The sequence below is a fragment of the Homo sapiens genome, chromosome 10, assembly GCF_000001405.40.
Source record: "Homo sapiens chromosome 10, GRCh38.p14 Primary Assembly".
Lineage (NCBI taxonomy): Eukaryota > Metazoa > Chordata > Mammalia > Primates > Hominidae > Homo > Homo sapiens.
The window spans coordinates 127960541-127972751 of NC_000010.11; the positions used below are offsets into that span (position 1 = coordinate 127960541).

The 12211-nt window shown below is 49.0% G+C and overlaps 1 protein-coding gene across 12 annotated transcripts in view; it reads left to right on the forward strand.

The window, feature by feature from the left end:
- Positions 1 to 12211, forward strand: part of PTPRE (protein tyrosine phosphatase receptor type E) — a 178753-nt gene that overhangs the window by 53438 nt on the left and 113104 nt on the right. The window contains exon 2 of one of the 12 annotated variants that reach the window (NM_001316676.2): positions 4288 to 4458. The exons of the other annotated variants lie outside the window; for them this stretch is intronic. Coding sequence (NP_001303605.1) covers positions 4456 to 4458 — 3 coding nt within the window. The 5' untranslated portion in view covers positions 4288 to 4455. The remainder of the gene's footprint in view (positions 1 to 4287; positions 4459 to 12211) is intronic. 12 annotated transcript variants of the gene reach the window in all.

Consider the following 12211-nt stretch of genomic DNA (forward strand, 5'->3'; position numbering starts at 1 on the left):
CCCTGCAGCTTTACCTGGTTCTCTGTGAGCCTGAGCACTTGGGCTGCTCCATCTTTCAACAGCCCCAGGAGTTGGTCTGAGTCATCTTGGACCTCCTAGCTCAATAAATGTGTAAACTTGCCATAGCCCAGATCTTGCTCTGATTTATCAGCATTTAGCCATTAGTCCAAATACGTGAGGCTTTTCAAAAAATACAGAAACAGCCGGGCGCGGTGGCTCACGCCTGTAATCCCAGCACTTTGGGAGGCCGAGGTGGGCGGATCACTAGGTCAGGAGATCAAGACCATCCTAACATGGTGAAACCCCGTCTCTACTAAAAATACAAAAAAAATTAGCCGGGCGTGGTGGTGGTCACCTGTAGTCCCAGCTACTCAGGAGGCTGAGGCAGGAGAATGGCGTGAACCCGGGAGGCAGAGCTTGCAATGAGCTGAGATAGCACCACTGCAGTCCAGCCTGGGCCAAAGACCCAGACTCTGTCAAAAAAAAAAAAAAATACAGAAACAAGTAGTTCCCACTCACCCTTCCTCTCTGCTGTTAGTGTGCATTCAGACGATGCCAAGGAACGGGCTTCTCTGGGCAGAGCCGGGGCTTTGCGAGGGGTCTTTCTCAGCCACACGTGTCCAGCATGTATGTGGCCTTCTCCTGGGGCATAGAAGTACTTATTTCAGACCACACAAATGAAAACGATTAACATTCAGCAAAATATCCCAGCTGCAGTCTAATTATTTCCTATGGTTGTTGGTGACAGCGTCCCCTTTTTGGAGCAGGGTTGGCCGGAGGCAGGATGAGAACAGTGTGGGCTTGTTGGGGAGGTGTTGTAAGGCACCCAGCACAGAGAATTGAAAAGCCTTCTTTAGAAGCTTCTCTCTGGGGCAGGGTGGGGGTGGGAGAGGAAACGGTAAAGACCCACAGTGGCCTGGGCTCTTCTCTCCAGCAAGATGCAACAGGACAGGGAAGGAGGGCCCCCAGGAGGCCCCTGGGGTGGCCTGGAACTTGAGAATGAACTGATGCTGGCAGGCACAGCCTTCTTCACTTCTTCACAAGGGTGGGCCCCGCCTTAGACTGCTGGGTGACACCTGTGCATAAGCGCTCCACCCCCCAGCGAGAGAAAGCGGGCCGCTAGGACTGGCTGTCCTTTACTGTGTGACTCTCCCCAGCGTCTTGTCTGTCCCTTCCTACCTGTCACTGCACTTGGTAGTCACATATTTATTTGTACCTTGGTGTATTTATTCCTGTCTCCCCCACAAGACTGCAGGCAGCACTGAGAACCCAGGCTGTCTTGCTCATGCTCTGCCGCCAGGACTAGCCGGGCCGGGTACCCCTGGGGTACTCCCCAGGTGCCTGTGGAATGAATGAATGAGTGGATAGATGAGTGAGTGAAAGAATATATGAAATTGGTTCTGCAGGATGTGCGGCCTGCAGTTACCACTCAGGAGATGCTGGCTCCAGGGTAGGAGAGAGACTCCATTTTTCTCTGGGTATTACTGGGCTGTTTTAATTTCATCAAACAATAGGAATTTATTACCTGTTTTCTTAAGCTCTAAATAACAAAGGGAAGCACAGTAAGTATTCTGTTCTTCTTCTTTGCCAGGGCCCAGAGGTTGAGGGAGGAGCAGCCCATGGTGCTGGGTGCCAGTGGGGGGTGAGGAAGAGGCTGCAGAGGTCCCTGCTGCCTGGACACGTGGCTCTAGCCCCTAATGGAGGGGCAGCCCCAGGTACCACTCCCTGAACCTGCGGGAAGGCTGGCACAGACGGCATGTGAGTGCGGCACATGCCAGGCCACGGGGCTCCTTTCTTGTAACTCTCAAGGCCCCATGAGGCAGGCCAGGTGACCGAGGCTCAAAGGGCAAAGTCACTTGTTCTGATGGCTCAGCTGCAGGACAGTGACTGTAGGGCCAGTGCTCTGTGCACCCGCAGCTGCTCCGCTGGACACAGACCTCCCCGGGGAAGCAGAGACCACCCTGCATCTGAACGGGGAGGGGTCGATGGAGTGTGCCCTGGTGACATGGGCTCTGCAGGGCGGGGTCAGGCCTCCCGCTCAGTTCTGCATCAGTACTTGCACCACAGAGGCCTCAATGAAGCCGAGGGAGCTCAGGGGAGCAGGAGTCTAAGCCGGAGGCCCTCAGCGGGGCGGCTGTGCCCTCCCCAACGCCCAGGACATCAGCAGTGTCTGGAGACAGGTTGGATTGTTATGGCCAAGGAGGGAGCAGTGTCATTGGCAGTTAGTGGGCAGAGGCCGGGGATGCAGCGGAACAGCCTACAGTACCAGGCAGTCCCCAGCCCCCGCAATGTCCACGGTGCTGAGGTGGAGAAATCCTGGGCTTAGGTCACGCCCAGGTGCACAGGAAGGATCTTGCATCCCAGGAACCAGGGGCTGGGAGAGAGGAGAGCTGGGCTGGGGGCTCTGGAGGTCCCAAGTTGGGGTGCCCTTGGATTCCTATGTAGAGGTGGAAACCTGGGTCTATAGGCCTTGACTAGGGGTCTCTGGCTGAGAAACACTGGCTGAGGCTGCAGGAAAGATGTGCCTCTGAGGAGCAGGCCTGTGGAGGCCAGACACTGAGGCAGCTCGGTCCCCCTGGGGCCTATGGAAATGCAGGTAACCCATGATATCCTAGGGTCCTGCTCCCACCCAAGAGAGGGCTGGGGTGAGTGATCACAGCTGAGGGCCTGCAACTGTATGGACCCATTCTCCACACCACACACAGACCAGCAGAAACATCTGGCATGTTCCCCCAGCACCCCTGCATCTCACTAACTCCCATTCCTCCCTCTCCTGTCAGCCAAGGCCACTCCCTACAGGATGCCTTCCCTGACTGCTGCTCTGGGTCAGGTTGCATCTTCTCAAAGAACTGTATGTAATTTACATCCTTTGTTAATATGAGCATGTGATTAACTGGCTTCTGGGTGGATGCATCCTGGTGTCTTCAGAGCCCAACACATAGTAGATGCCCAGAAAGTGGTTTTTAAATGATTATGCTTTGTCTTTGATAAATAACATAGGCGTCTTTACAGTGTGTATAGGCAGAGCCGAGTTGAGACATCGAAAGTGGGCAGGGAAATTGTCTCCAATCCTGGAGTTGTGGGGAAGCACCGTAGGCGAGCCTGTTTCCTCCGATCTCACCTGGGGTGGAGTGTGTGTGTGTGTGTGCATGCATGCGTGCGTGCACACACACGTGCACACACGTGTGGAACCCACGGGGCTGGGGATAGTCTCTAGCAGTGTGAGACAACCAGCACACCATCCTGGTGCTGAGCACAGCTCAGTGTCCCTGTCTGGGAAGCCCATGACCCTTGGGGCAGAAGTTCTGCACAGGGAGTCCGCAGTGGGCCAAGGCAGTGGTCTTCAGCCCATTTGCAGAGCTACCTTGACCCTCTGTGCCTGAGATAAAAAAGATGGTTTCTCCTTCATGGAGAAGGAGTTCAGTTTTATTAATACTTTCTTAAAGTGAGCCACAGGATTAGTGCTGGCCCCCAGGTTTTGAAATCTTCCATCTGATGTTCAGCCTCTTTCCTGTTGAGACCACTCCTTGCAAAGATGATTGCTCTTGAAGTTGAACCCAGCATAACTGCAGTCCGTCGCCCCCTCCCAGCTGGCAGAGTATCCTTTGCTTTCATTTTATTTATTGTTTATTTATTTATTTATTTTTGAGACAGAGTCTTGCTCTGTTGCCCAGGCTGGAGTGCATTGGCATGATCTTGGCTCACTGCAACTTCTGCCTCCCGGGTTCCAGCAATTCTCCTGCCTCAGCCTCCAGAGTAGCTGGGATTACAGGAGCCCACCACCGCGCCCAGCTAGTTTTTGAATTTTTGGTAGAGATTGTGGTTTCACCATGTTGGCCAGGCTGGTCTCAAACTCCTGACCTCAGGTGATCCGCCCACCTTGGCCTCCCAAAGTGCTGGGATTACAGGCATGAGCCACCATACCCGGCCTCCTTTGCTTTTATCAAATGTAAACTTCTAGGAATATATTTTCATAATGTGTTTCTAGCCGTCCTTAAGAATTAATGAAGTTCTTAGTTCCATTTTTTTTTTTTTCGCCCTTGACTAACTGTGGACAATTCTCAATTGTAAGGGAAAGATTTACTTCTGTATTAATAAGTCTCACTGTCTCCGAAACTCTTCACATTCAAAGGGCACTCGCATTACCTGGCAATTACTCTTTCTCGATGAGACACAGGTTGGTGATATTTGGGAATATGACTTTGGGGAATACAAACTCTGTTTAAGTAATGATTTTGAAAAAAATCTCTCTGCACCAGTGAATGCCATGAACAGTTTCATTTTCAGTAAGCGCTTGCAGCCAGTTGTCTAGTTGTCAGAAGCCGAGCTCATCAGCGGGCTCCTGGTGTCGGCGTTCTGCTGCTGGAAGGTCAGGGAGTTCCCTGGACCCCACGGAAGAAGCTGTCTCCATGAAGGACAGGGACCGTGCCGTGAACCTTTTATTCTCCCACTGACATGGTATGAAGGCATTTCGGTTTTAAGCATCTTTTTTCCTAATTTCTCAGAACCCTTTGAAGATCTTGCACTTGACTTCTAAAATTCAGTCCAATTCCTTAATAAGTACATCATTATTACAAGTTGGCTTTTTTACTTCTTAAGAAGCATCTTTAATTTGAACTTCCATAACCATATTTTTGTAATTATCAAATGGCAGGAAATAGATGCTGACTCCCGTAATTTTATCATTCTAAATGTCACAAGAATGGCAAGGATCTTTAAAAGACAAAAGAAGTTCTTCAGTTAGGAATTCCCATGGTAACCAATATAGCTCAATCTTTTTTTTTTTTCTTTCTGTGGCTATTTTAAGTATTTAAATTGATTTACATCCCTGTGGAAATGTGAAAAAAGCCTGGATCCCATATACATCCATTCCACCTGGAGTTTGGGGGTTTTGTTATAAGCCATGTTCTTCTTTTGATTCCTTGCCAGTGTCTGCAGTGGAAGGTCAGGGTTCGTCCCTAAGCAAAAGCCTTTTAAGTTTCCTTAACTTAGGAAGAAGTCGTGATTTACCTTTGTATTCCTTTTGCAGTGGATATTAAAACATAAACATATAAATTATCTCATTTTGAATTGCTCTTTTACTTTATGTTGAACAATGAATATAAATGTATTTTAGCGGCCAGATGTTAGAGGATAACACTGGCTTAATTTGTGCTGAGTGTGGAGCCCCTTCTGGGTGCGGTGAGGGTCTGAGCCTGTGAACCTCGTATCTGCCCAGCTCCTGCTGGACAGCATCAGAGATCTGCTGGCTCAGGGTCCAGCCAGTCTCCACCTCTTTCTGGAGCAGAACACTGCACACCAAATTCACTGGTACTGCAGCCACAACCCTGGACACCTGGACATGTGCATTTTCCCATCTTCTGCCACACTGGCCCTTTGCCTGACCTCCTCCTGGCCTTCAGTCTGAGGTCCGCTGGGGGCCATGAATGCCTCTGCAAAGTTGCAGGTCCTGATGGTGGGCTATGGGTGCTCCCAGCTGAGCACAGTCATGACTCCCACACTCACTGTACAAGGAAGTGAACACAGTAAGTGTGGATCTACCAGATCTTCACTAAGCCTCAGGGCAACCCTAAAGAGAGGACAGGCATGTTTATCCTCATTTCATCCATGAGGAAGTGGAAGCTCAAAGAGGTCCTATGCTGCATCTGGGGTCAGTGTGGTTTTCTGCCTCTGGGACCCCCTACCCCTGAGGCCAGTGTCCATCCCCCTCAGCAGGTGTGTGGAGCCCTCCGGACACAACATCTTGCTAGGAATTGCATGACAGTTACTGATCATTTATCTTTTAAAATGGGTCAATAGGCTGAAGGAAAGATGGGAAGTTTCTCAGATATCACATATTGGCAGATATTACAGCCAAAATACACATAGAGGGAAACATTTTGGGGAAGGTTGTGGCCATGATAAAAATCAGTATTTATTGAGCCTGTGATATGTGGCAGACACCATGAAGGGTGCATTGTAGACATTACCACATACACCCCATGCAGCCATAGGGTGACCAGCCACCTACTTAGCCAGGGACTGAGGGGTTTGCTGGGATGGGGGATTTTAGTTTTAAAACAGGGATGGTCCTGGGCAAAGCAAGGTAAGTTGGTCACCCCACCCGCCACCCCAAGGTTAAGATGGACTTACCTTCATTTTGTAAATAGAAAACCCATGGCTCAGAGAGTTGAGGTAACTGCCCAGGCTGCTCTGATGGCAAGAGGTGCAGCTGAGGCCTGGACCAACACCTGTCAGAACCCAAAGCCACATTTTTTGACCACGACACCTTTGTCATGGCCATGAAGAGCAGTCCCTCCTGCGAAGGAAGTCTCAAGGTCATCCATATGACCAACACCTTGAAAAGATTTAGGTGATAAAATTGAGATTCTTAATTCTTTTGAAAAAAATGATTAAAATCAGAAAATTATTTTCAGATAAAGTTTATGCCAAAAGATACAAAGGCTTGCTCTGTAAGAGATAAAGCGTTTTGTGGCAAACAAACAAACACTTCAAGGGCAAAGTCAGGCCAACCGTCCTGCTCTCTGCCATCCGGTAAGTCTCTCCATGCTCATGGTCATTTGTCGCCCAGTGTGAAGACTGCTAAGGGCAGATGACATGCTCAGTGTTTCTCAGTTGACCGTATTTTTTAATTGAGTTTTTAGACAAATTAAATTAATGAATTTGTTTGCTTATTCATGTAGAGTAAAAAGCAATACCCACTCTACTCCAAAATAGTAGCTCAAGCTATGATTTTGCAAATTGCTATGGTTTGGCTGTGTCCCCACCCAAATCTCATCTTGACTTGCAGCTCCCATAATCCCCACGTGTCATGGGAGGGACCCTGTGGGAGGTAATTGAATCATGGCAACAGGTTTTTCCCGTGCTGTTCTCGTGATAGTGAATAAATTCTCACGAGATCTGATGGTTTTATAAAGGGCAGTTCCCCTGCACACACACTCTTGCCTGCTGCCATATAAAGATATGCTTTTGCTCCTCCTTCACCTTCCACCATGATTGTGAGGCCTTCCCAGCCATGTGGAACTGTGAGTCCATTAAACCTCTTTTTCTTTATAAATTACCCAGTCTAGGGTATTTCTTCATAGCAGTATGAAAATGGACTAACACACAAATTATATTAAAATGCAGCATCCTTACAGAAAAGTCTGCACCAGTCATAAGCACACAGAGCTCTGAACTTTCAAGTGAGCCAGCACCCAGATCAAGGAATGTGACAGGCCCATTCCCCCAGCCCAATCCCCTTATTGCTCTTCCAGTCCCTTCATGCCTCCCTTCCAGGGGTAACCATTGTCCCCACTTCTGACACCATAGATTAGTTTCGCCTGCTTTCGAACTTTCTATAAGCTGGATCATAGATTATATCGAAGTATTTTTATGTTTATTGAATACCTACTATGTGCAAGGCCTTGCCTAGCTATTCAATGAATCTAAATGACTTGGTTTTGAATGCCTCCCAGGTTGCTCTATAGGTGTGTGTGTGTGTGTGTGTGTGTGTGTGTGTGTGTGTCCCTGGATATAGGTCACACAGTTGTCTTAGCCGTCAGCCCTCAAAAGGCAGGTTCACATGGTGGCCAGCTCACATCCTGTGTGTGTTCAGGAAGGCACTGCTGCCATGCAAATGTCATTTAAATGTGGCATATCTATGAATTCAACAGGGTAATTTGGTTCCTATGTTGTTGGAAAGTTATCTGAATGCTGAAGTCAACTGCACTCCAGGCTTGAGTAAACAAGTCAGGACAATGAAGAGAGGCAGTTGCTGTTAGGTTTGGTGGGGGGAGGGGAAGGTGACTTTCACAAGTCCTCTTGTACAAGGGCCACCGTGTGAAACCTGATGTCCAGTGAAGACACAGCAATCCAAATAGATCACTGCCTTCCAGCCCCAGGGTCTACGCAACAAAAAGCCTTCCCCATTGAGGCCATCTGGCGAGTTCTGCCTCCAATGTCCTGGGAGCAGTCAGCCAGAGCTCAGGGCAGGGGGCCTCCCCAGCCTCCATTCTGCAGATCGTTCTTTCTGGGCAATTCATGCTCATTCCCACACAGAAAGGTTTGAGGCAATTTGTGGAAGGAGCGTTGTATCAGGATGGTTTCTAATTCAGGTGGATTAAGGTATGGATGCTGTCTTCACTGCTCACTTGTCAAATAACTGAACTCCTGACTTCTTTGAACTCTGGGCTTCTAATCTGTGAAGTCAGAATAATAATAACTGGGTAGTTGTGAGCATTAAGTTTAAAAATATGTTGTGGCAGCACTTTGCATGAGCAGACCATAGTATAAATGCCAGCTCCCTTTCCCTGGAGATAAGAAGTGATTGTGATTGTGCGTTAAGTTCTGTTTTAAGCTTCCTAGCTGACAAGGCAAAAATGAAACACAATGGCTTATATTGTTCTAGTCTGATTCAAAGAATGTCCCTAGTTTTTCAGGAAATATAAACACTTTCCTGGTGTTACATTCTAAGACAACTTTATTTTGCAAGCCTAAATGATTCAGTCAGGGTTTCCAACAATGGTTTTCACCCCAAAAGATGGAGAATTCCCCTTTCTATTTCCATAGCATGTATCAATCCTTTAAAAAATACTAATCTGGGGTTATGATAGTGCAACACTAAATTCGGAAGGCGAACGCCATGGAGCTGGAATTGCATTCTGTTGCTCCATTTCTTTCACCGTCTCTTTTTACTGGACATCTTATGATAAGAACGTAAATGGAAAGGGCAAGCCTGGAGTGACAAAGGGAATCCTCCATTCACTCCATACAGTGCTGTTGCTGGGCTCGGGACGTGGAGAGGGCAGGGGCCGTGAAGACATCCTGGTGCCTTTGCAGGGTCGTCATGAGGATAAAGGGGATGGGCCAGGTGTGACAGCTCAGGTTTATAATCCCAGCACTTTGGGAGGCTGAGACTGGCAGATCACTTGAGGCCAAGAGTCCCAGACTACCCTGGCCAATATGGTGAAACCCTCTCTCTACTAAAAATACAAAAATTAGCTGGGCATGGTGGTGCACACCTGTAATCCCAGCTACTCGAGAGGCTGAGGCACAAGAATTGCTTGAACTTGGGAGGCAGAGGTTGCAATGAGCTGAGATTGGGCCACTGCACTCCACCCTGGCAACAGAGCGATACTCTGCCTAAAAAGAAAAAAAAAAAGGGGGGCGGGGGGATGATGCAGACATGAGCTTTGTGTGTGTTCTTGTCATATCACACGTAAAGGAGACGGTCAGACTGGGGCTCTTTTCTGTTACAAAATTATACATCTGGAGAATCATGGTGAACGTGAACTCTGTGTGAGATGCTGGCACGTGCCTCCGGCACTTCATGAAGGAGGCTGTTGGTTCTGGAGCATCCGTGGCTTTGCTCCTCAGGCTGCTGGCCATGGGGACCCTGAGTCACAAGCTCTTCAGAAACTCTGGTGCTGGGGAGGCAAAGCTGTCTCCTCCTCTCTCCCTTTGCACAGAAATTCCAGAATTTGGATTCTTTTGTGACCTCGAGCTGAATGTTCAAAATGTTGAAGCTGAGTTCTTTTTTTGTTTTTCATATAAGTACTTACACACACGCGTAAAAAAAAGAGCCAGTAACCAAGGGCTTTTCCCAGGCCCCCAGTGGCCTGGAAGTCCAGCCCACACTCCCAGACTCCAGCTGGGAGACACAAGAGGGAGGGAACTTGGGTGGGGGACACCCCACAATGATGAGGTCCTTAGGAGACTCCAGGGCCTCCAGGAACCCAGCTGCCACCCAAGAGCACCCTAAATCTCAGAAGCTAGCCAATCCAATGGAAGGACGGTAAGGTCTTTTCAGTGTAAGCACAGCTTTGCGGATGAAAGGGTTGTATTTGCAGAATTCGTTGGAATCAGAGCTCCAAGCCTAGAATGTCCTCCCACCCTCTACCCACCCCAGGACTGGATTCCTGTCCTGTAAGGCCAACTGAGCTCTCCTCCCTCATTACCTGTCCCCAGGTACAGACCTTCCCCTCACACCATTGGTAACTCATCTGTTGCGTTTTTTCATGTATCCTGAAGCACCTACACAGTGGGCATTCAATAAATATCTGCTGAGCCGTGGATTACACAGTAGAGCCACCGATGAAATGATGCCTACGAACCTCCTACAAAACTCCTGTTTTATTATATCAAACTCTGAAAACTGACAGTTTGGACTATTCTTTTGTTAATCCTACAATGAGTTAAGCTGACTAATGGACACTCAAGTTTCCATCATGGCTGCGCTCACAAAAAAGATCACCTGATATTTTCCCCTTGTTACTATGGAAGATTTTAGGTGGATCATATTCCTATTCGTATCATAGGAATCATTTACTGGGGAAGGGTCACTTCATTTCAATTATGTTTTGAATGATTAGTCATTTCAAAAATAAACCATCCCTCCAGGTTAAATTTATCTGGGACTCATGGTTGGATAAGCTTCTATGTCATTAAAATTAATTGATGTAGCAAAATCAGCTGCAGTCATTATCCTGTCCCATATCTGTGGCAGACCCAGGAAGGTGCTCACTGTCTACACACAGCGGCAGAGGTCTCTGTGTCCTTTGTCCCATGCAGAGACCCTGCCTGTAAGTCTCACTGAACTGAAAGTTAGATCGGGAGTCTCCATATGACCTGACTGAGAGCTTCATGTTGTCAAGTGTCCATACGAGGCTAATGTGACACTCACGCTGGGGCTGGCGCATTGGAACAAATGGTTCACTTCAAACATTCACATCCCAAAAAGGACCCCAGTGGGCATAGGGAGCCCAGCCCAAGACGAAGTATCAGGGAGCTGTTGGGAGCATGGGTCTTACGTAAGAGACCTGGAGTAGGGTGGGGATTGGCACCCCCCTGGAGGGCGTCTCCATGTTCTCGATGCCTCTGTTTCCTCCTCTGGAAGGCAGGGAGGGCCCTTCTTAGCTCTCCACACTATGTGGAGGAGTCGGTGAGATGAAGCCTGCCCAGTGTTTTCACTCGGTGCCGCCCTGAGGTGCGAGAGCCCCATGCATGGTGCCCTGGCCTTGCTGTCCTCGCAGGTACTAGCGCATTCCACTTCCTTTAGAGAATGAGCACTGGAGTAAGGAAGGTCAGATGTGTGCCCATCCCGGCCTGCAGCGAGTGCTTGCCCCTCACAAGGCAGTTCCTGGGGAAAGCCTCCAGCGTGCGCGATTTGCAGTTTAGTTTAAACGGAAGGAGGTTTATTAGAATCTTGGCAGCTCTAGAAGAAGACTCTTAACTCTCCATTGGCTACAGATCCCGGCCAGCCATGTGGGTGGCTCCCTCAGGCCGGTCAGATGTTCCTGCTGGGATGGCCATGGGCACCAGGAGAGCTTTCCCTTAGCACTTTCAGACCTCAGACCTCCTGGCAGATTCAGGTGCAGCATTGAACTTCATGCCGTTTTCCTAAATTCAACTTCCGGAGCTTTTACCTTTTCAGAGACCCAGCCTAGTTTATAGAAGCCCAGCAGAAACTTTTCTTCAATTTGCTCGTGACTCTTAGATGAGTTTGGAGCCGGGTGGGAAGATGGTATTTCAGCATCCTAGGCAGGGGCACATCAGATGAACTGTGCACTTCGAAGCCATGATGCTGCCTGACCATGAGGGTAACATGGGGGAGGAGGAATCCTTGTCAGTATCCTGTCTGTGGTTGGCTGGGCAGTGACCACTTCCCCTGACCGCTGCCTGGGGACTGCTCCTCCACACACAACTTATCTCCCAGGAAGCAATTCCAGGCCCAGGCACCAAGGGCCCAGGGTTTTCCTAATGTTGAGGACATTATTGCCCAGTGGCATAGAACATGGGATTTGGAGTCAGATCTGGCTGGATTTGATTTCTGGCTCAACCTCTTATTGACCACGTGACTTCACGCATGTTACTTCAGGGTGGCCGTGAGGATCAGACAGGATCCTGTATGTACAGTGTCTAGCACGTGCCTCAAGGACCATTTGTCCTCATAAATGTGATTATTAGGTAGCAAGGCAGTGCTACATGTGGCCCCACCCACGGCCAACCCCACGGTGCGAAGAGCAGCCTTTCTGTCCTTACCTGGGCTTTACCCTCCTCTATTTCCAAGCTCGTCCACCCAACATTCTCTCACTGGATCATTACCATGATGCCGTGGATCATCAGCAAGTATCGGTGACCTCATGTGTAGTGGCCATTGAAGCACAGAGAGGTGGAGGGGCTGACCAAGGTCACCCAGTGGGCAGGGATCTGGCTGGAGAGCACACGCTGC